The 24,275-nt window shown below is 40.2% G+C and overlaps 1 protein-coding gene across 5 annotated transcripts in view, besides 5 other annotated features; it reads left to right on the forward strand.

Moving 5' to 3' along the window:
* Positions 208–447: a silencer, noted in NCBI's record as "silent region_17697". NCBI's record gives its function as "represses an Ori minimal core promoter by ATAC-STARR-seq in GM12878 lymphoblastoid cells {active_cell/tissue: GM12878}" and the evidence as "EXISTENCE:reporter gene assay evidence [ECO:0000049][PMID:35858748]".
* Positions 478–597: a silencer, noted in NCBI's record as "silent region_17698". NCBI's record gives its function as "represses an Ori minimal core promoter by ATAC-STARR-seq in GM12878 lymphoblastoid cells {active_cell/tissue: GM12878}" and the evidence as "EXISTENCE:reporter gene assay evidence [ECO:0000049][PMID:35858748]".
* The window catches only part of SCAF8 (SR-related CTD associated factor 8), a 100,867-nt gene continuing 77,128 nt past the window's right edge, over positions 537–24,275 (forward strand). The window contains exons 1-3 of one of the 5 annotated variants that reach the window (NM_001286189.1): positions 537–662; positions 1,006–1,089; positions 9,115–9,177. In NM_001286189.1, coding sequence (NP_001273118.1) covers positions 582–662; positions 1,006–1,089; positions 9,115–9,177 — 228 coding nt within the window. In that variant the 5' untranslated portion in view covers positions 537–581. Of the gene's footprint in view, positions 1,090–9,114; positions 9,178–24,275 lie in introns of all 5 variants that reach the window. The other 4 variants (NM_001286188.1, NM_001286194.1, NM_001286199.2 and 1 more) reach the window with 4 other exon arrangements.
* Positions 608–1,111: an enhancer, noted in NCBI's record as "NANOG-H3K27ac-H3K4me1 hESC enhancer chr6:155054583-155055086 (GRCh37/hg19 assembly coordinates)". NCBI's record gives its function as "activates a minimal SCP1, AML or CMV promoter by ChIP-STARR-seq in naive H9 embryonic stem cells {active_cell/tissue: H9 hESC(naive)}" and the evidence as "EXISTENCE:reporter gene assay evidence [ECO:0000049][PMID:30033119]".
* Positions 608–1,347: a biological region, named in NCBI's record as "NANOG-H3K27ac-H3K4me1 hESC enhancer GRCh37_chr6:155054583-155055086".
* Positions 748–1,347: a silencer, noted in NCBI's record as "silent region_17699". NCBI's record gives its function as "represses an Ori minimal core promoter by ATAC-STARR-seq in GM12878 lymphoblastoid cells {active_cell/tissue: GM12878}" and the evidence as "EXISTENCE:reporter gene assay evidence [ECO:0000049][PMID:35858748]".

The following is a 24,275-nucleotide window of genomic DNA, read 5'->3' on the forward strand; positions in this document are numbered from 1 at the left end:
ATGCCTGTTTCCCTCGCCGCCTGCCCCAACCCGAATCCAAGGCTTTGGTTTCTAATGTTCCCTCCCTGTGCAGTTAAAACAATTGAGTTCAGTTACTAAATAGATGACCAGGAACTTTTTCTTGGCGAAGGCTGCGGATGTTTAGGGCACTGTCCAGTAAAGTTGTGAAAAGCAACTAAACCCTGCCGCTTGTGCAAAAGGACCAATCCACCGGGAAACAAGGGAAACGCGCACATTTCCTCAACTTGCCGCTTCTTGGGCACGTTTAGGCTCTTATTAGAGCCGCGCTTTGGAGTTGCCTCCTCCTGCTGTACAAACCCGCCGCGGCGTTCCCCCGGATGCCGCAGCGCTCACTCCCGCGTCCGCGGGGCGCGGGGAGGGGGCGAGGCGCGGGCGGCCCCGGAGCCAAGGCGAGGGCAGCGGAGCCCAGCCGGGCCTACGGGCGGCGACGCTCTGGCCCCAGCGCGCTCGATGGTTTCCGCGCGGCCGCCGGGGCTCGCACGGTCCAGTCGCCAGGGGGCGCGCTAGCCGGCGCCGCGGATCCCCGAACTGCGCGGCCCGACTCGAGTCCGCCATATTGGATGCCGCAGCCGCTGCTGCCAGCGCTTCCTCCTCTGTCTTCGCCGAGCGGGGCTGGTTCCTGCGGCCCGAGCGGCGGGGAGGTGAAACAGGAGCCCGTCGGAGGAAGGGGCAGAAGGGAGTGGAGAGTGTAGGGGAAGGGGCTAGAGGGAGGGGGACCGAAACGGAGCGGGGCAGAGAAGAGAAGGCGCCGCGGCCCAGCCCCTCCCCCGCCCGCCGCCGACCCGCCCCGGCAGCGCCTCTGTTCCCTAGAACGGCGCTCCCCCCGCCCTAGCGGCCATGCCGGTGCCGCTCTGCCGCTGAGGGAGCCCTTCCCCGCCAGCGCGTGCCCTTCCACTCCGCCCCGAGGTCGCAGCGGCCCGCTCTCCCGCCAGCGCCCCCTCCTCGCGGCCACGCAGCAGCCCGCGTCTCGCTCTCCCCACCCAGTGCAGTGGCCGCCGCCTCTTCCGCCGCCGGGCTCGGGGCCTCCGCAGCGACAACATGGAGGCCGTGAAGACCTTCAATAGCGAGGTTGGTATGGCAGCCGGGTTCCCCTGCTCCTGCCCGCACCGCCCCCACCCCTGGTCGAGGCCGGGGCCCGGAGGGTGGGCGCGGGCCTGCGGGTTTTTTAAGGGTGGGGTGAGCGGTGGCCTAGCAGTGCCCGTGGGGGAGGGGTGTTTCTCCTCTGGGTGCCCCTCCCCCGGGTCCGGGAGGAGGGTTGGGGGAGGGCCGCCCTGGGGCGGAGGGAGGTTCTGGCGTCTCCGGCGTCCTATGGAATGGCTGCGAGCTCGGAGGGAAAGACCCGGTTGGGCCCTCACCCGGAGACTCCCGACAGGTCCCTCGAGGTCAGTTCCGCCGAGGCCTGGCCCGCCCACCTCCTTCCTGGGCCTTTGAGGATTTAAGTGGACGCTGGACATGACTCTCCAGACCTTCCCGGGTCCTCACTGAGGCTAACACCGATTGGGGGCGGTGGGGGAAATGAACCTACGGGGTGTTGATCTGTGGTCACGTTACACGTAGTGTTTATAATTGAGGCATTGTTGACTAGGTAATTTGCCAGCTAGGGACTTGAGCTAATTGGATGGTTGGTAGGCAGGCAAAGGTTATTCTGCAATATCTTTTATTTTTACTCGCTCCTCTTCTAATCCATCACGACATAAAGACAAATGGTAGGGAGAGATCTGTGCATCGAGAGATGGAAGATTATGGGGGAAACATTTCTCGCTGGTTCATTCACGTGTCAAACAAGATTTTAAAAAGCAGATTCCATTTTCACTGTGTAGTTGAATTTACTAGTCTGGAAGAAGACAGGTTTTGATGTATTCAATTTCTTTTTAAACTCCGACTTCAATAGGCCTTAATGTAAACATCAAACATAGCAAGTACACATCTGCACAGTCAGCATTAGTATCCCTACCCGTACGCCTTGGAAAGTGTAATTATGGCCGGGAACAGTGGCTCAGGCCTGTAATCCCAGCACTTTGGGAGGCCGAGGCGGGCCAATCACGAGGTCAGGAGTTCAAGACCAGCCTGGCCAACGTGGTGAAACCCTGTCTCTACTAAAAATACAAAAAATTAGCTGGGCGTAGTGGCAGGCACCTGTAATCCCAGCTACTTAGGAGGCTGAGGCAGGAGAATCGCTTGAACCTGGGAAGCGGAGGTTGCAGTGAGCCGAGATCTGCGCCACTGCAATCCAGCCCAGTGACAGAGTGAGACTCTGTCTACAAAAAAAAAAAAAAGAAAAAGAAAAAGTGTAATTATGCTGGTAACTAAATTAGCATAAATTTTATGAACTCTTAAAGTGCCAATACTTTATTCGATACTATGATTGTTAAAGAGTATCTTTAATATTTACCTCTTAAAATACGAGGCTTTTTGCTGTGACGGCCCAAATAGGACAGTACTTTTAAATGCCGTTGCATAGTTTTATCTTGTTTTAATTTCTTTAAAAAGAAAAACAGTATTTGGGAATCTTAGCTAAGAGGCTAAACGGTAGATAATATTTGGGCTATTTTCAATAGCAGTGATACATAACTTTTTTTGGAAAGCATTTTCTTTTTTAATACTACATTTTTTATTTTTAACATTGATAAATTAGAGCAATAGACTTGGGAATCTTCTTTTTTTTTTTTTTTTGAGACAGAGTTTCGCTCTTGTTACCCAGGCTGGAGTGTCACCATCTCAGCTCACTGTAGCCTCCACCTCCCGGTTTCAAGCGATTCTTCTGCCTCAGTGTCCCGAGTAGCTGGGATTACAGGCGCACATCACCACGCCCCGCTAATTTTTGTATTTTTAGTAGAGATGGGGTTTCACCATGTTGGCCAGGCTGTTCTCAAACTCCTGACCTCAAGTGATCCACCCGCCTTGGCCTCCCAAAGTGCTGAGATTATGGGCGTGTGCCACTGCGCCTGGTGTTTCATTTTTTTTCATAGCTATCTTTCTTTTTTTGAGGAGTGTCATTCTGTCACCCAGGCTGGAGTGCAGTGGTGTGATCTTGGCTCACTGCATCCTTTGCCTCCCGGGCCCAAGGGGTCCTCCTCTCACCTCAGCCCCCCAAGTAGGTGAGATTACAGGCCAGTGTCACCATGCCCGTCATTTTTATTTTTTATAGAGAGGAGGTCTTGTTATGTTGCCCAGGCTGTTCTTGAACTCCTGGGCCCAAGCGGTCCTTTCACCTTGGCATCCCAAGTGCTGGGATGACAGATGTGAGCCACCACGCCTGGGGGATTTCGTTTTGTTTTGTTTTTTGCCCTCATTGGATTTAATTCCCGCCGCCACCCTCTTCCCCACACACACTTTGTTGGGTGTCTGTCTTTGGGGGGGTTCCTAATAATGTGGTCCTCCCCCTCAAAGGGCCATCCAAGACTTTTTTTTTTTTTTTTTTTTTGGAGACGGAGTTTTGCTCTTGTTGCCCAGGCTGGAGTGCAATGGCGAGATCTTGGCTCAATGCAACCTCCACCTCCTGGGTTCAAGCAATTCTCCTGCTTCAGCCTCCGGAGTAGCTGGGATTACAGGCACCCACCGCCATGCCCAGCTAGTTTTTTGTATTTTTAGTAGAGATGGGGTTTCATCACGTTGGCCAGGCTGGTCTCGAACTCCTGACCTCAGGTGATCCACCCGGCTCGGCCTCCCAAAGTGCTGGGATTACAGGCGTGAGCCACTGCGCCTGGCCCATCCATGACGTTTTAAACAGTAGCTCCCAAATATTAGATGTAAACAAGTGGTTAGTGCACTATGGTTGGTCACAGTAGGGAAGAAATGTTAATTCCAGTTTTTCGTTTTAATATTAATTAAGGATAAGGGGGCCTAACATTTACATGTGTAGATAGGTGTTTCACCTGTTTTCTCATTTTACAGGAACTTGAGGTTTGTCTTAGTCCCATTTTAGTGTATGTAGCACTCTCCCATTTCCCCATATGGATTTCAAAGAACTTAAGTCTTGTAACTTCCTTATTTATTTATATGCTCTAACTTCACCGTGTTTCAAAGTGGAGTTAGCTTAAAAATAGCAGTACAGAGTCAGGGAGTTGAGGAAGGGAAATATATTTGAAGAAGATTCAGAAAAATACTTTTTTTTTTAAACACAAAACAATACATAATACTGTTTTTTATTTTGAATGCAGTTTCTGTGAATGTTGTAATATTTGCTGATGTGTAGTAAACATTGTTATTGCAAATAAGTATATGCTGAGAAGTAGTTCAGTAATGATTGTTTTCCATTAAATTATGTGTTACAAATTACAAAAATTAAAAAGGAATTCTAGTTGCAGGATTAGGAGAAAAGGATGTTTTCGACGCTCATAGTTTGGCTTTTAAAGGTGTTTATCTTTGGGTTTAATCCATCACAACTTCTCTGCTAAATTTAAAGGTATCTTTGAAACATTGAATTGTCAATTCCATTTGCTTTGTAAGGAATCAAAATTTAGCTCTAAGAATAATCAGGAACGTTTGTCAACAAGATATTTTGATACTTCACCTTAAAATATTTAAAATAGGCTGGGCTCGATGGGTCATGCCTGTAATCCCATCCCTTTGGGAGGCCGAGGTGGGCAGATGACTTGAGCTCAGGAGTTCCATGCTAGCCTGGCCAGCATGGCGAAACCCCCATCTCTACAAAACAACAACAACAACACAAATTAGCTGGTCACGGTGGCATGTGCCTGTAGTCCCAACATGGGTGAAGGGGGTGTAAAGGAGGGGGCAGGTGCTGAGGTGGGAGGATCTCATGACCCAGGAAGGTGGAGGCTGCAGTGAGCTGCACCACTACACTCTGGCCCGGGCAACAGTGCGACCCTGAATCAGAAAAATTGAGACAGGTACTCGCTGTTGACAGGTCACCACGCCGGGCTAATTGTTTTTGTTTTGTAGAGATGGGGTTTTGCCATGTTGCCCTGGCTGGTCATGAACTCCTGAGCTCCGGTGATCTGCCCACCTCCCCTCCCAAAGTGCTGGGATTACAGGCCTAAGCCGTGGTGCCTGCCCCAAATTAAATGTTTAAAATACAAAATACTTAACCTTTTATGGCTTGCTAAGGCTCAGGTTTTTCCAGACTGAATTTTGTCACCCCCATCTTTTAATTTTGTGGAGATCATTGGTTTGAAAACCAGGAAGATGCCAGAGACTTTAGGAATACAGATTTTTGTGAATTGTGGGTGTGTGTCTGTAGTCTTAGCTACTTGGGAGGCTGAGGTGGGAGGATCTGTTGAGCCCAGGAGTTCGAGGCTATAGAGTGCAATTACTGCACCTGTGAATAGCCAGTGCACTCTAGCTTGGGCAACAGTGTGAGACTCTGCTTCAAAAAAAAAAAAAAGAAAAGAAAACCCCAATAATACAGATTTTTAATCTGCAAACTGTGGATGAGTTTCAGCTATGAAAATCCCAGACTTCATGCAAGATATGTATGAGTTGTTTTTGTCATGTCTACCCTCCCTACCATAATTTCTCAAAGGAGTTGACCTTTCACTTCTGTGTTAAAAATTACTATGTCAGAAGATCCTTTAATTGTGCAGGAATTATGTGGTAAATTTTTCTTCTCACGAGTTAAATGAGATTTAGGCTCAATAATTTATTTTTTAAGTGCCCCATGCTAATTTTGTGGGAGAAAAATAATTTCTATTTAAACATCATCACTGTGATGAAAGTTTAATCCCATGACCACTACTTTCAATTCTGAAATGATGGAAGACTTAAGTTCAGATTACAATACAAGATTTCCTCAGAGGCAATGGGTGAGCAGTTAACCATAAGAGAATTATGAGTGCAAGCTATTGCAGTTGCTGCTGCTCTAAGATGGTGGCGCTTGTAATGATTTAGCATTTCTTCCTAGTGAAAAGGGTCGCAGATTGAACTGCCTAAATCTGTGGATTACTTTGGGACTGCATTGATTGCTGGAATGCAGCAGTTTTATGTGAGCTGCATATCTATACTCTGTACTTAAGAATGATCACTATGTGGAGGTCATTCTGGTAGGATCTTGTTCTATTGTTTTTTTGTTTCCTTTTTTGTTTCTTTGAAAAGGGGTCGTGAGACAGTGGCAGTGCATGACCCATTCTTTCCTTTAGTTTGAGAGGGCATTTTAAAATACAGCAGATTGTTGTTGTTATTGTTTAAGACTGAGTTTCTCTTGCCCAGGCTAGAGTGCAAGGACAGGATCATAGCTTACTGTAACCTCGAACTCCTGGGCTCAAGTGATCTTCCTGCTTCAGCCTCCTGAGTAACTAGGAATACAGGCATGTGCCACTATGCACACCTAATTTTTAAATTTTTTGTAGGGAAGGGTGGGGGGTGTCAATATGTGGTCCAGGCTTTTCTTGAACTCCCGGCCTTTAATGATCCTGCTGTGTTGACCTCCCAAAGTACTGGGATTACAGGTGTGGGCCACTGCCCCTGGCCAGATTCTTTTAAATTTTAAGTACTTTAAAAAAACAAAAAACAAACGTAGTTCCTTTACCATTAATCACACTTCAAAAAAGTTAACAGTAAATCTTTAATATAATAAAATACCAATCAGTGATCTATTTTTTTCAGGTCCTTTGTATAGCTAGTGTATTACAATGTAGCCTTTCCCCCATGATCTATTTCTCTTGCTGCTCTGAATAGGCTGAGTGGGAAGATGTAGGACCGGATATGTAGGTTTGAGATATGTCAGAATAATAATTTCAGTTTAATTTCTGGATTTACCTTAGTTCATAAATTGAGAGGATTCTGTTACCTTTAGTTATATTTAGGATACCTAAATTCTTAGTATTTTTTGTCTTTGGGATCCTTTTGGATAGATTAATCTTTAAACTGTTCCAGGATGCAGGCTTTCCAGAATCAATTTAATATCCACTACATTTTTCTGTTCTATAAAGTGAACTCCCATCTCCACTTTATTTTACTTCCAAATTTGTATCCAGGGTGGGTATTTTGTCTAACTATAGGACTTTTTATAATCTCACCAACATCTAGTAGTAGACATGGCTTGGTAGAGAAAAGTGGAAAAGGTAGAGGGAATAATATAAACATGTGAAATTTGTTTTTAGTTTATTTTTCCTTTGTTGATGGTTCAGGATAGGGAATTTATGGGAAGCAGCTATAAAACACTGCATTTGTCTTTTATTTTCATCTACCAGGGAATCTGTCTCTGGTTTTCCTTTCCTATTATCATTTTCTAGAGGGAGTTCTGGTTAATTCTGTCAGTCAGGCTATATTTTTTTCTTTTTACCTTGTGAAAGTCCTTTAAAGATGTAGCATATTAATTAGTATTATAAAGGAAGGAAGTCTTTCACTAACCCCTTTCTGCTCATATGAGAACCCAAGAGCTAAGTATCTTGGGAACTATTGATATTTTGGGCTGGATACTTGTTTGCTTGGGGAGCAGTCCTATGCATTCCAGGATGTTTACAGCATCCCTGGCCTCTATGCATTAGATGCCACTAGCACCCTCCACAATTATGACAGCCAAAAATGTTTCCAGACATTATTAAATGTTTCTTTGGGGGCACAGTGACCCTGGTCCAGAATCACTGATTTAGGTCTCCTGTTAAACTGTCTTAAAATACTGTGCTGTTTCTTCCAGTGATCATAGCAATTTTAAGTAATTTTAATAGTCTTTACCACTAGATAATAAGCTCTATGAGGACAGTGACTGTATTTCCTTTGTTTCATGTCCTTGGTTCATAGCACAGTATCTCAATATACAGTATATATGTGAAGTAAAGATTTTCTTTTTCTTTTTCTTTTTCTTTTTTTTTTTTTTGAGACTGGGTCTTGCTGTCATCGAGGCTCGAGGGCAGTGGTGCCATCAAGGGCTCACTGCAACCTCTGCCTCTGCCTCAAGCAATTCTCCCACCTCAGCCTCCTGAGTAGCTGGAACCACAGGCACGCACCTCCATGCCTGGGTAATTGTTGTGTTTTGAATAGAGATGGGGTCTTGCCATATTGCCCAGGCTGGTGTAGAACTCCTGGTCTCAAGAGACCTGCCCACCTTGACCTCCCAAAGTGCTGGAATTATAGGCATGTGCCACCGTGCCTGGCCGCTAAGTAAAGATTTCTTGAATGAATGGATGCAATCCTAGGTAGCTAAATGACCTTGGCCAAGGTAGTTAACATTTCTGAACATCTGGTTATTACTTTGGGGAGGAGAGTTGGAGAGGGAACTAGTCCATTGAAGATTTCAGTTAGGTTAAGTCCATTGTGAGTTTTATGTTGTCTAGTAATTATGTTATTTTCAAGTCTGATTTTGCTGTTTTTCTGTTTGAAATGACATATAGAAGTTTTTTTCTTACATTAAAAATAGAATACAAGGATAATTGAAACTGATAATGGTTTTGAGAGACTGCATGATTTGAGAGTGTTAATCACACATCATTAAATATAAAAAAATTTTAGGCATGATGGAAATGCATGTTTCGTGGAGTTCAATTATTTCATTCTAGACTAGCATTGAATTTGTTATAGTAATTGTGATTAACATTTAGGGGACTTTATAGCCCCAGTGTCCCAAAGAGTCATATTCTATGATCATTTGCTTCTTTTTTTTTTGAGATGGAGTCTTGCTTCTTCGCCCGGGCTGGAGTGCAGAGGCATGATCTTGGCTCACTGCAACCTCCGCCTCCTGGGTTCAAGCAATTCTCCTGCCTCAGCCTCCCCAGTAGCTGGAATTACAGGCATGTACCACCACACCCGGCTAATTTTTGTAATTTTAGTAGAGACGGGGTTTCACCATGTTGGCCAGGCTGATCTCGAACTCCTGACCTCAAGTGATCCGCCCGCCTCGGCCTCCCAAAGTGCTGGGATTACAGGTGTGAGCCACCGCGCCCGGCCCGTTTGCATCTTTTTCAGAAGGGGTATCAGTGGCTTAGAATTAGTGATAGTATTACTAGTTGTATGTACAATTTCAGATATCTCTTTCTAAGGCCAGTTACGCTGTTTTGGACAACTTCTAACTCATAATGGTGTGAAAGAATGTAATCAACCTTGACCTTGAACACTGGCTGAGCTCCTGAACTTTTAAGTGAGCTCATTTTGTCTGGTTTTGTGTTCTCAACATCTTTCTCTACTCCTCTCTCTCAGGATTGTGCCTCTACTCCTGCTTGTACAGACTGCTTTTCCAGCAGCATGGACACAAGAAGCATAGTAAGATGATGATAACCCACATAAGGCAGGCCCTTTGGAATATGTTAGGTTTCAATTGGTAGTGGAATAGTGTATTTGATTATATGGTTAGTACTTGGGAAGCAGAATGAAGTTTGTCACTTAGAATAGATTGGTAGTCTTAAAAGAGAGCGTCTAGGGAATAAGTTGAATTGCTTCACAAAAAGGTTAATTGGAGAAAAAAGTTTTATGCTCAATAGTGAGCATAAATCATATATATATAAACTTTTGTTATGTTTACTTGTATTCTGCTCCATGTGATTTTACAAAAGAGATAGAACTATTTGAGTGAATTGCAGACCTCTTAATTGAATAATAAAATACACCTTTTGAAGAATTTCTTTGAACTATAAGATGACAAATTATTGACATATATGCTATAGGAATAAAGAATTGAATTTTTGATTTTCTAATTATAGAGGCAGCAGATTGTGGTAGAGGTACTATTGATTATGAGAAATAAATGCTGATGAGAAATGTTTCTATAGTTTGTGATTTCGTACCTAAATGGATTCTGTCTCATATTTGATGGTAAACATGATGCATTTGCTTTTTCTGATTTTGATTTTATGCATTTGTTTTGTCTTTCTAATTTTGTTTTATAAGAGTTTCTGATACAGCCATCCTTTAAACTTAAGGAAGGCTATGTAAATGTATTAAAATACCTATTATAGGTCAGGAAAAATCTCAGTAACTTTGACATTTCTTTATTTATTCAGAATGGGGACTATGTTGCTCATGTTCTCTAAAGACAATTTTGACTATTAAGTTGATGTATGACAAATTTGTTTTTAAAATAATTCTGCAACTTAATGTGATTTATATAGATTGACTTGAAAGATGTAGGATTTCATTCTTTCATTAATTTGTTCATGCACGTAACTAATATTTAATGAACATGTATCGCGGCCTAGGGATTTTTTTTTCCATCTCCTGGGATATAGTGGTAAACCAGACAAGCAAAAACCATGCCCTCTTGGAGCCTATGTTGTTGTGATTCTTTTCCTTTTGTCTCATTAGCAGTTTGTGTATTGAACTTGCTGCAGAGCTGGGGAGGCTGTGCAGGCATTACTGACTCCAGCATTGCTTCTTTGCTAGGGACTATGTTGTTTGCAGCCTGATCCGTTCTTAGCATTTTGCCTCTTAGAGTCCAGATTGCCTGTCCACTGTTCAAAATAGAGACTGAACAGGTAGACTTAGTTAAATGATTTTTCAAACAGTGGGAAAATATGACTAGCTACATTGTTTTATACAAAATTGTCTGTTATATATGTTTTAAAATCTCCATTTGATATTTTGGAATCTTAACTATTTCTTGTAAAATACAGCTTTAAGAATGTTTTCTTTTGTCCGTGAGAATCATTAGTCTCCACATGCATGATTTTAAAAAGCAACTATTCTTAAGTGGAGACCAAACCTTATGAATTTAGAAGAATAAACTAATAAGTATTTTCATTTTTAAAGCAAACTTTTTTAAGTACCTGAGAAATTTGATGTCCTTTTTGTAAATATTTTCTGAATTTGATGTGATTCCTCAGGGTTCATTTGAGTAGCTTATCAATGAAAGATGAAATAGTTTGCCATGTACTTTAGTGTGTAGAACTTGGGAAATAAAGATTTCTGTACAGTGATCAATGTCTCAGAGGTTGACCAAATCCTAATTAATGGCTTTCTTTGATCTAGCAATGTTTTTGATACCATAAAGTTTTATGGTTAAGAAAAAATAGACATAAGTGTTTGAGTTTGTTGAAATATTTTAAATATATGAGTAAAATCCTCTGGAGTAAAAAAATTTTTTAAAATCTTTTTTGCCCTTCAAGTGAGTTTTGAATAAGTAATTTTGTTTTTTACATATCAAAACATGATGTAGCAAATGTCTAGTTTCTGTAACAGCTGCTCACTATGATGAAAAAAATCTCTTACATATTTTTGAAGTACTTTTAATTTACCAAACATTTATTAGAAATTAACCACTTTACTGGGCACGGTGGCTCACGCCTGTAATCCCAGCACTTTGGGAGGCCAAGGTGGGTGGATCACGAGGTCAGGAGTTTGAGACCAGCCTGGCCAACATGTTGAAACCCTGTCTCTACTAAAAATATAAAAATTAGCCAGGCGTGGTGGCGTGCACCTGTAATCCCAGCTACTCAGGAGGCTGAGGCAGGAAATCGCTTGAACCGGGGAGGGAGAGGTGGCAGTGAGCTGAGATTGCACCACTGCACTCTAGTCTGGGCAACAGAGCAAGACTCTGGCTGGGTGTGGGTGGGGGTTGGTGAGGGGAAGTTAACCACTTTATCAAAACATCTTATGTACACAAGTCTATGTACCTACTGTGTACTCACAAAAATTAAAAAGAAAAAAAAGGAGGTATTAGAAAAAAGTGAACCACTTTATAATATGTAGTGTTTTATACTCTGCCCTCTTTTTCTGCAGCCATTACCATGTTTCCGTGGATCTTTAGTATTAACTTTGTGAGAATGGTTGGATAGGTGTCATCCCATTTTACAGACAAGGAAACTGAGGCCCAACAGTTGTGATTTTTCCAAGGAAATGCAGTTCTATAAGCATTAGAGCAGGGATTAGAAGGACCTAGTTCTCAACCTCTGGTGCTAGGTGTAAAGGGGAACCATCATTCAATTTTTCATAGGTTTTTTTGGTTGGTTGTTTTGTTTTTACTGGTATAATGTCCAAATACAAATTTATTTTTTCCTCATTCTTTTTATAACTTCACCTTCATAGAAAAATAGTAAGAATGATGAATAATTTTTATGTATACTTCATCCAGATTTCTGTGCCTCCTGTAACCATGTTTGCTTTCTTACTGTCTCTTCACATACAAATGAACACATAATTTCTTTTCTGAACATTTTGAGAATAAATTGCAATTCATGGTACCCTTTACCTCTAAATAACTCTGTGTATTTTAAAAACAAGCGCATTTTATTTAACTATAGTACAATGATCAAAATCAAGAAACTAACTTGGATACAGTACTGTTGTCTGTAGATCATATTCAGATTTCACTAATCATACCAATAATGTCCTTACTAGAGTAAATTCTACATCACACCTTACATTCACTTGTCTTAGTCTCCCTTAATGTGAATCAATTGGTTACTCCTCTTCTCTTGTATGACCTTTGAGATGATATTTGATTAAAATAGGCCAGTATTTTTAGAATTGCTTTAATATTGATTTGCTGCTGCTTCATGATTAGGTTTGGGTTCTATATTTTTGGCAGAAACACTCCAGGAGTAATATTGTATTCCTCTCAGCACACCATATCAGGAATCATGTTGTCCACATATTCCATTAATAGGGATGTAGAGCTTTTGTTTATTATTTTTTTTTAAATAGACAGGGATCTTGCTCTGTTGCCCAGGTTTGAGTGCAGTGGTGTGATCATGGCTCACTGCAGCCTCGAACTTCTGGGCTTAAGCAGTCCTTTGACATCAGCCTTCTGAGTAGCTGGGACTACAGGTGCATGCCACCATGCCTGCCTGATTTTTTAGATTTTTGGTAGAGAGGAGGTCGGGCTATGTTGCTCAGGCTGGGGTGTTAATTTTTATCTGCAGGGTTTCCCTACTGTGTAGTTACTGTCTTTCCTTTGTAACTATTAATAGTATCTTCTGGGGAGATACTTTGATGCAAATACCTTGCTACTTGTCAAATTTTCACCACTTGTTTTGGTGTCGTCTTATCTGAATCAGAACTAATGGTGATTGCCACATGGTGATTTTCGGAGTCTATCATTTTTGTATTTATTAGTTTGCATTCTCTACAAGCTTTCCCATTTATATATATAGGTGTATATGCATATTAGTATGAACTCGTGGTGTTTTTTGTTTTTTGTTTTATTTGGCGACAGAGTCTCACTCTGTCACTGTCACCCAGGCTAGAGTGCAGTGGCTTGATCTCAGCTCACTGCAGCCTCCACCTCCCAGGTTCAAGCGATTCTCGTGCCTCAGCCTCCTGACTAGCTGGGGCCACAGGCACACAACACCATGCCTGGATAATTTTTGTATTTTTAGTCGAGTCGAGGTTTTGCCATGTTGGCCAGGCTGGTCTTGAACTCCTGGCCTCAAGTGATCCATCTGCCTTGGCCTCCCAAAGTGCTGGGATTACAGGTTTAAGCCACCGCACCCAGCTAAACTCATGGATTTTTTTCTTAATTCACTGAGTTATCTTTATACTCTGATTGTCTCAGTTTTGACTAGGCAAGCTGGCTCCTTTGTCCTTTTGACAAGTCCTCATTATTTTTTGAGTTGTCTTATTCTCTAGTGTAATAAAATAACTCCCACCAGCCTGGGAATCAGCCATTTCTCTAGTTTCTTTTAGTGTGTGTATATCTATCAATAGATAGAACTGTAAATTATATATATACATACATTCTCTTTCTCATCTGTTTTGTATCCGTTTATCTAAAAAGCCATGAATTCATCATAGTATCTTCAATTCCAGTCAAACACAGTAGGGTTCGTTCTAGCTTTCCCTCTTTCCAAGTTTGTCTTCGACAGCAAGAACCCTGGCTTTTGTTATCTACAATATATTTACTTATTATTTGTTCATTCCTGAAATACATAGAAAGTAGATTCAGAATTGCTAAAGCATATATCTGTAAACAAACCTATTAATTAGAGTTTGTTTATAATTCATTTTTTGTTTTTGTCTAAGGGCATGTAGTTAAAATACTATGTACAAACATTACTTGGTTAGTTTTCTCCCCCACTTAAAGTGGTTTTGCTATTAATTTGAAATAGAGTTAGGTTCAAGTTTTTCTGTTTATATTCCATTTTGACTTTTTTCCTCTTTCATCCTTGTTTGCTATTTTTTTAGTATGTGAAACATTAAAGATAAATTAACTTTAATCATTTACTTTTCCTAGCTTCAACGTCATAACTACTTATGCTCTGATAAAAAACCAAAACAGCAAAGCATTTATTTAACATTCTTCAGATAACATTCTAAAATTCAGGGGCTTAGATATGGAAAAGGATTTAGGTAAGAGATCCAATAGTGCAGATTCTACTGATGGGTGAAAGAAAGTATATATTTAGAGAAAATTTATTCTCTTATGAGTGGAATCTCCAGTCCAGGGGGCAGCAAACTTTGTAGAGTATTAGTAAATATTTTAGGTGTTGTGGGCCTCTTTGTATATTCTTCGTCTTTTACAAAGCTTAAAATATAGAACCGTGCGGCTGAGTGTGGTGGTTAGGCCTGTAATCCCAGCGCTTTGGGAGGCTGAGGCGGGCTGATTGCTTGAGATCAGGAGTTCCAGACCAGCCTTGGCAATATTGTGAAACAATATGTCTCTACAAAAAATATTAATACAAAAAAATTAGCTGGGTATGGTGATGCATGTCTATAGTCCCAGCTACTTGGGAGGATTGCTTAATCCAGGGAGGTGGAGGTTGCAGTGAGTTGAGGTTGTGCCACTTTACTCCAGCCTGGGTGACAGAGCAAGACCCTATCTCAAAACAAAACAAAAAAACCCATATACGTATACATATACCATCCTTAGTTTGAGGGCCTATCAAAACAGGCCAAAGGCTATGCTTTGCTGGGCTCAGCAGTAAACTTAGAAACCCGAGAACTTGATTAATAACTTGCTACTTGTAAACAAGAATTATAATCGAGCAGAACAGTATAGCTCATAAAGGCCTTATAGTGCTTATTTTAACATCAAAAACAGAGCAAAACAACTTGAAAAGCTGCCTGGTGGAAATATTCATTTAACACATTTTTTTTTGCATTGACCACGTGCAGATACTATTTTAGGCACTAGGATTCAACAGTACAAAACAGACCAAATGAAAAACCAAAACAAGCCTCTGCCTTCATGGAGTTTACATTTCATTTCTGTGTGTGTGTGTGTGTGTGTGTGTGTGTGTGTGTGTGTGTACTAGAAATGCATGTTTGTTTTTCCTCATTTAGTGCCATTTTATTTATTGAAAGTTGTTTACATTTTAATTGCAGAGAGGATTCTTGTTGGGAAAGTTGATTTAAAAAATTAAGCAAAGGGGACAAAATTTTAAAAGGTTAGCTCATTGCTTTCTATCTCTTCCTTTTTTGTGAAGTGTAATATTTATTTGAAAGTGATTCTTAGTCATTATGATTTCAATGTGTTACTGCACTCGCTAAGGGAAGACAATAAAATAAAACTGCACTAATTGGCACAAACAACCCAGACCTAATTTAGTGATAAGTACATGTGCATTATGGAACTTTTAAAAAATATTATTCACATACATAAAAAGGCTTTAATGAATAAATGAGAAGGAGAATAATTACTATCCAAAGTTGGGAGCCGCTGTGGATATAGTTGCTTATGTGGTTTTCTTAAAATAGGGACAAAGTTTACTAATAAGACTAGTATTTATTTACTAAATGTTAATAAAAGCTCAAGAACTGTTTGCAGATTATCCATCTTGTCTCTGGCTGAATATGAGCACCTTTGAATAAAAATTGTCGAGATGAATTTTTACCATGTTACTTTTTTTTTTGCTGAAATGACTTCTATAAGTGGTTTTTAAATTTGCCTTTGTAAAGATTATTAATATATTTGGCTTTTCTTTAACATCAAGAAATAAGGTTTAATTTTTATAGCAATTTCTGTTGAACAAGAAATTCCAAATCCTTATTCTCATTTTATGAGATAACTCAGAAGTTTTTAGAAGCCTGTCTCTGTTTTGGTGGTAATTTCAAGAATGAAAGTTGTGAGCAACTTAGCTGAAGAGTAGTAAAATCCTAAAGGAGTTGTTTAGAGGCTGCAGCATCATTCTTGTGCAAAATTTCCTAATCAGTACTTTGATTTATTTGCAAAAGCAAAGAATTAAATGTCTGAGTTCTCTTAGAGCTGTAACAGTTTATTAATTCCAAATAATCCTATGGGTGAAGGCCTATGAATAAAATGTCTTTTTTTTTGAGACGGAGTTTTCTCTGTCGCCCAGGCTGGAGTGCAGTGGCGCCATCTTGGCTCACTGCAACTTCTGCCTCCTGGGTTCAAGTGATTCTCCTGCCTCAGCCTCCCGAGTAGCTGGGATTATGGGCATGGCGCCACCATCCTTGGCTAATTTTGTATTTTTAGTAGAGATGGAGTTTCTCCTGGTTTATTAGGCTGGTCTCGAACTCCCGACCTCGGTGATCTGCCCGCCTTAGCCTCCCAAAGTGGTGGGATTACAGGCATGAGCCACCGCACCCAGCCTAAAATCTCTTATTTTGCTAGTCCTACACAATTGTCCTTTTTTTCATTTTAATTACAAAATAATTTTTGAGATTGCTTTAATACAATAATAGCCTATGAAGGTTTTAATAGTAATAGCATCTGGTGGTTGGAAAGAGTGCACGGAAAGTTGCTGGTTGTTTGAGCTTTGTTACTTGCTTGCCATCTGTCAGCCATTCTGCAGGGTAGTCCGCAACATTAGATACCTACACAGCCTTTTCCTCAGCAAGCTCTTTCTGATGGGGTGGGGCTGGGAATATGATGAAAAGTAATATGAGGAGCATTATGATATGAAGAGTAGTGATGTCACCTATGTATAGTTTGTGTACACTGTGATGTATACAGTAGAAAGGGTGGAGGCATTGTGTGCAAAACGTAAAAGCTCATTGTCAAGGAAATTGCAGCTTTGGGTAGGGGATAGGGTAGGGAGGAGTGATTGGATAATTGAGCCTGGGTTTTCTGATGAAGGGCCTTTATATAGCATGCATAGGACCTCCTTCTAAATCAAAAGGGAATTGAGAGTCTGAAGGGCTTTAAATGAAAGCACAAGTTTTAAATTTGTTTTAGAAAAATGACTAGCATCTTTGTGGAGCAGGGAATGGCAATGGCGGGATGAGTTTGGGATAGGAAGGTTAAATTAGTCTAGAGAGGATGAGGGGCTCAATTAAAGTAATACTAATAGGGAGAAGAGGAAGGGATGACTGCAGTAGAAGTTTAGTAATAATAGGGAGCTGGATATGAGGAAGATGGGTGTTGCCAGGGCTTTGGTTTAAGGTTGATTTAAGAGTATGGTACCAGTCACTAAGATGGGCAAATCAGGGAGAGAAAGAAGATTGAGGAGAATGATAATTTGGGGGGGATAGGGTGGATGGGGGATTTTTTTTCTCACCAAGAATAAAAGAAAGATCCTCACTGTGGACGGAGGCTTAAAATCACCTTTATCTCAACCACCCAAAGACTGTTATGGTTACTGTTTTGTTAAGTACAGTAGTTTGTACATCTTGAATATTTGTTGTCTGTGGAACATCAAGGTGGAGATACCTAACTAAATATATGGGTTGGGTACCTGGAGAAAACAGGCTAGAAATGAAGATTGAGGGGACCGTGTAGTTGTTTAGGGTGATAATGTAGGGAAAGAAGAGAAGCCAGCCTAGAGGAAGATCTTGTAGAATCTTTTCATCCTCAGGTTTGTCCTCCCTCCCTCCCTTTCCCCCATCCCTATCATGTTGGGTTTGTGAGTATAAGACATTTAAAAGCAACTCTGTGTGAAGTATGCTTGATTTTAAATTCTGCCTATACAACCAGATGTTCTTGTATGTAATTAAAACTTAAGTAGTAAATTGAATGGCCTGTGAATAAAATTAAGGATTCAAATTTTGTTTAATGAGATTTTATTAGAATTTCTTATCATTAAGCTCACTCATATTATTCAGCATTTTATTTACTCTTAGTTACATAATTCTTTGCCTTAAGTCTACTGTAAGCAATTTATTGTGTACATGGAATTGTGCATTTAAAGACTCCATCATTAGATATAGAACCCATATTTATTTGGGAAATTCCAACTAATACAATTCTGGTATTTTTTTTGCAAAAAAGCTTTATAAATGAATTATTCTTTTTCTTGTTCTCATTTTGGCCATTTCATTGTTAATAGTACTATATTAAAAGGTAACATGTTTTCATTTTGATGTTTACAAAAGACATGGGAATGAATTGAAATTAAAGGAAGGTGGACTGTGTGGATCCCAGGAAGATTAAAATGAAGTTATTTTCATTTATACACCAGTGTATTTTTGTGTTTTGTTTTCTCCCATGGAGAATTGTTTCTGTTTTCTTTGATTTTAGAATAGGGTGGCTAAAGGCCATCACAAACATGTTATGCATTTGTAGCTATAGGAAGAGCTAGTTGTGGTTCTGTAACTGGGTTCCCTGTTAACTGTCTTGCTTAAACCTGATATCTAAAAACCACATTTTTTTTTTTTTTGAGACGGAGTTTTGCTCTTGTTGCCCAGGCTGGAGTGCAATGGTGTGATCTCCGCTCACTGCAACCTCCGCCTCCCAAGTTCAAGTGATTGTTCTGCCTCAAACTCCCGAGTAGCTGGGATTACAGGCATGCGCCACCCTGCCTGGCTAATTTTGTATTTTTTTGTTGAGACGGGTTTCTCCACGTTGGTCAGGCTGGTCTCGAACTCCCTACCTCAGGTGATCCACCCACCTTGGCCTGCCAAAGTGCTGAGATTACAAGCATGAGCCATCGCGCCCGGCCAAAACTACGAATTTTAGACCTGAAAGACATATCTGAAAGACTCGTTTTACAGATGAGGAATCAAGATTCAGAAATGATTAAACTTGTTCAGTCATACCTTTACTAGGTGCACATAGTTAGTGGCCTAATTAGAACACATTTATATTCTCTTTGTTTACTGCTGTTTTCATTATTTTTACTATGGATTTATTGAGTGTGATCTTGGTAGTATTTATGTTTGGTGGAGGGAGGAGAGGAGTGGGAATTGGTAATTCTTAATAGATTATTAATATTTCATGTTAACTCTGGGACAGAATAAGGAGCATACTACTGTGCTGCTCCTCTCCTCCTCGTAGAACAGGATGCCACAGAAAATACGCTTTCCTTGGCAAGGAAGTATTGCACAGAGCACCCACTTGGCCAACAGTTCTCCAGCAACTCACTCTGCAGAAAACTAAAAAGCCTTTGAGTCCAAAGCTCATGTATTTTGTACCCACTTTTAAAGAGAGGAGTGTGGTTATTCTTTAAGTCTATATCCTTAATGTATCTGTAGTATGTTTCTAATTTTCACATTTGAACAATGATGGCTACTTTGTGACTACTACATTTAGATTTTTGCAAACTATTGTTTAGAAGGTTCCTAGTCTCTAGAGGCCTTTTAAAGCCTGAAAAGGCTTCAAAATTAATATGGTTGCTGTAAAGTAACATGTGACAGATGACAGTTGGCCGCCAGGAAGGAGATGGTGGTTTTATCATTTACAAAATGAGATTAGATAAGATGACCTTTAGGATCCCTTACATACTAATCCTGATGAGCAAGTTTTCTAATTAATCTTTTCTTAGCCTCATTTAAAAAATAGAGATAATGGTATATTTCCTGACTACCTCTCAGTTGGTTTGAATATTTAAAAAAATCTAATGATTTTATAAAGTATTTGGAAAGCTAAACTTTTATTCTTCTACTAGGGGATACTGGGAATTTTAATTTTTTTTTTTTATTTAAGAGGCTGCAACTGCGGAACATGTAGTGTCATTGTGGATATCTCTGTTGCCCTGGAAAGTATCTTCATATTATAACATAATTTAATAGTGGGTAAAAGTTATAGAGACTATGAGTTGTAAAGAATGTGCTAGATTATGTTCAGCATATATTTCAAGTTGGGGAAATAGTTGAACAAACAGCAGACAGTTATAAAATACAGACTATAATGTATTTTGCTTGTTTGTTTTTTTGAGATGGAGTCTCACTCTGTCGCCCAGGCTAGCACGCAGTGGTGCAGTCATGTCTTGCAGCATTCTCCGCCTCCTAGGTTCAAGTGATTCTCCTGCCTCAGCCTCCAGAGTAGCTGGGATTATAGGCACTTGCCACCATGCCCGGCCAGTATTTTAGACTAATATTATTACTGGTCATCATTTAAAAGAATTTCATTGTTCCGTTAAATCCAGCAAGGCTTTCAAGAACCAGTTTTAAGCAGTAAAAAGGAGTACAGTTTTGTTTTTGTTTTGTTTTTTTTTTTAATTTACCAGAAGGTATAAAGTGGGCCGGGCATGGTGGCTCACTCCTGTAATCCCAGCACTTTGGGAGGCCGAGGTGGGCAGATCACCTGAGGTCAGGAGTTCGAGACCAGCCTGGCCAACATGATGAAACCCTGTCTCTAGTAAAAATACAAAAATTAAGGCCCGGTGTGGTGCTCATGCTTATAATCCCAGCACTTTTGGGAGGCCAAAGCAGGTCAGTCACCTGAGGTTGGGAGTTTGGGACCAGCCTAGTCAATACGGTGAAACCCCATCTCTACTAAAAAATACAAAAATTAGCCAAGTGTGGTGGCGCACACCTGTAATCCCAGTTACTCGGGAGGCTGAGTCAGGAGAATCGCTTGAACCTGGGAGGCGGAGGTTGCAGTGAGCCAAGATCGTGCCATTGCACTCCAGCCTGGGCGACAGAGCAAAACTTTGTCTCAAAAAAATAAATTAAAAAAAAAATTAGCTGGACATAGTGGCGGGCGCCTGTAATTCCAGCTACTCGGGAGGCTGAGGCAGGAGAATCACTTGAACCCGGGGGGCAGAGGTTGCAGTGAGCCAAGATCGCGACTCTGCCTCAAAAATAAATAAATACATGTATAAAGTGTCTATTTTATATATATACATGTATACAATGTACATATTTATAATATTTATACATATTTATGAAGAAAGATGCATGTAGAATACGCTGGAAGGTGGCCTACCAGCCGTTTAACAGTGGTTATTTCTGAAGAAAGCAGTAGGTGGATAGGGTGCAGGAATGAGACCTTTTAATAGTTTGATTTTTTTCACAGTGAGCATTTATTACCTTATTACTATTAATTTAAGTTGAACTCTTACTCTGTCACACAGGCTGGAGTGCAGTGGCATGATCATAGCTCACCGTAGCCTTGAACTCCTGGGCTCAAGTGATCCTCCCTCCTCGGCCTCCCAAAGTGTTGGAATTATAGGCGCGAGCCACTGTGCCTGGTCTCCATATTGTTTTTGTAATATTTTCTCCAAACCCAAACAGTATGTGTCTTAGCCATTAGGAGAAAGGTGGAGTTAGTCTATTTTAATACTGCTTGAATTAAATCACTTAGAGAAAGGGAGCTTAAGAGTTTGAAGATCCTTAAGCCCTATTGAAGACTTAAAATTCATGTTTAAATGCAGTTTATTTAGCTGTTACTTGATCATGCTTAAATAATTCATGCTTAAAATTCATGTTTAAATGCAGTTTATTTAGGTGTTATTTGATCAGTAGACTCAAAAGCTTTATAATCTTTTGTTTTTAAAGTCTTCTTGGTTATTCGTTGGTGCTACTAAATGGTGTGTCACCACAGTCATCCATCATCTGATTCAGTGACGTTGCTAGCTAGTGAACTTTTTGTTTTGTTTTTGGAAACTGGGCTACATCTGAGTGCCTAGGTAGTGAGAAGAACTGGATTTGAGACACAGTTCCATAACTCACAAGCAGTTTGATTTTAGTTAAGTCACTTAACCTAATTTTATACGTTTATAAAACGAGAATAGTAAATATCAATCTTATCAGGCCATTCTGAAAGCAAAAACAGTTGTGATAGTGTTTAATAATTGACAGTGGACCTCACAGATGAAAAGTATATTACTGTCTTTATTGTTTTTCTCATGCAGCTCCCTGTCTCTTTCAAATTTTTGTGTTGGTTAGTCTCATTTCTGAAATGGTTTTATCCTTCCTTAGGCCTTGTAGGCTCTTCTTCTACTTATTCTCCCTTTGTTATTTAGTTTTCAGTATTTATTCCTTATCTTTTCAACTATTATCTCTTCAGAAATTACTTGTATTTTTTAATTTTCTCTTTTGGGATTCAGTCTCATATCTTCAAGGTATTTTATGTACATGTGCATTTGAAATCATTGTTGTCACCTCATGTCTAAACTTGCCTTTCCTCCACAAACTTACTTTTAGACTTCTGTTTATATCAGTAGTAAAATCATGTTCATAAATACTCAAAGTTGAAAACTTGGAATTATTTTAGATGCTACTCTTTCATCCATACTTTTGTCAGTCATGAAAGCTAATGAATTATTTTTTAAAAAATGTATATTCTGCATCCTTCTCATTCTTTTTATTCTCAGTGTTAACACTTTAGCTCTTATCCTCATCGCTTCTCCTTTGGTTTGTTGCAGTCAGTTTTTAATTGGCTCCTAATTTACTATGCTCTTTTTCTCTAGTTCATATAGTAGAACTAGGTATTTTAGATTATTAGATTATTATTATTTTTTTAGACAGAGTCTTGCTCTGTCGCCCACACTGGCATGCAGTGGTGTAATCTTGGCTCACTGCAACCTCCACCTCCTGGGTTCAAGCGATTCTCGTGTCTCAGCCTCCCGAGTAGCTAGGATTACAGATGTACACCACCATGCCCGGCTAATTTTTGTATTTTTAGTAGAGATGGGGTTTTGTCATGTCCAGTCTGGTCTCGAACTCCTGACCTCAAGTGACCCTCCCGCCTCGGCCTCCCAAAGTGCTGGGATGCCTGACCCAGATTATTAGATTAATTTTTATTACTATTAGTTTTAATAGTGATATTGCTTGAATCATTTTGTATTTCTAAAAACCTTTCAGTTTCCCCTTGCCTTCAGCTGTACAGGTTCCTGAGCTATGGATTTGAGACTTTACATAAGATTATTTTATAAGACTGTAAATAGGAATATGCTTATTATATACATCGCATATAAAGATGCTGTGAAACGGGAAGATTTACTGTATGCAAAGCTGTGCACTATATATTCCCATTATTCCCATTTGTGTGTCTTGTTGGTTTAGGAACTCAGTGATTTTGTAGTAGGAAAGCACAGAGTTCTTTTGAGATTCTAATGCATTTCCATTGGGAAATAGCCACCTCTTAGCTTTTTGTAAATCACTGTAAAGAGAGAGTTATTGATGAGTATGTTATAAATGTAAATAGCCTGGAAGCGGAATCATAGCTGTAACTGGAATGCTCTTTTCCCAGTCTATTTCACTTACATTTTCTTATTAAACTTTATGCTTGTGGTTTCTAACTGGATGTTTATTTCACTTATACATCCCTCCCCCAGTATTTTTATTTTGACACTAAATTATGTCATTAGATCTTGTGTTAATGAGGAAAAGTTTGAGGTCCTAAATACCACTTTTGTGTACAGTATTATTTCTCTGTTAAATGCATATGGGAGTGTGAGGAGAGAATAACAAAGATGCTCCGTCACCAATAGTTAAGTTTAATACATATATTTTGAATTAGTGTCTCTGCAGAATAACCTGTGATTACATTTTAGAGATCTTCAAGATCATTATTGAATTGTCAAAAATCTCAGAAGGCTGAGAACCCACTATTTTATAATGATATGTATATCACTCTCCCGCTCTACCTCAGTAGATTGTTAGATAAATGGAGGTGAGGGTTTAAATGTTATTTTTTGTTTTCTAAAGGGCAGAATATAGTGCTGGTGTTCAGTAGTTAGACGAATGTTGGCTTGGCCTGTTTACCATTTAGCTTTGAACTGTTAATCAGTTGAATTTGGTTTTGTATTCCCCAGTTGTCTAGTTGTTTTTAGTTGATTATACCTTGATAGTAAAACTGTTTGAGTTAGAACATGATGATTAACTCTCAAATTTATACATTGTATACAAGGATGATTATTTTATACTATAACAAATGATGTTGGGGATTATTTCAGAGTGAAACATTCTGTTGCATTGAAATACGTTCTTTAAGCTGGGCGCGGTGGCTCACACCTGTAATCCCAGCACTTTGGGAAGCGGAGGAGGGCGGATCGCTTGAGCCTCAGGAGTTTTAAGACCAGCCTGGACAACATAACGAAACCCGTCTCTACAAGAAATACAAAAATTAGCTGGACATGTTGGTGCATTCCTGTAGTCCCAGCTACTCGGGAGGCTGAGGTGGATCGCTTGAGCCTGGGAGACGGAGGTTGCAGTGAGCTGAGGTTGCACCACTGCACTCCAGCCTGGGTGACAGAGTGAGGCCCTGTCTCAATAAATAAATAAGTTGTCTTTTTTTGAGTCTCACTCTGTTGCCTAGGCTGGAGTGCGGTGGTGCAACCTCTGTCTTCTGGGTTCAAGCAATC

The sequence above is a fragment of the Homo sapiens genome, chromosome 6, assembly GCF_000001405.40.
Source record: "Homo sapiens chromosome 6, GRCh38.p14 Primary Assembly".
NCBI lineage: Eukaryota > Metazoa > Chordata > Mammalia > Primates > Hominidae > Homo > Homo sapiens.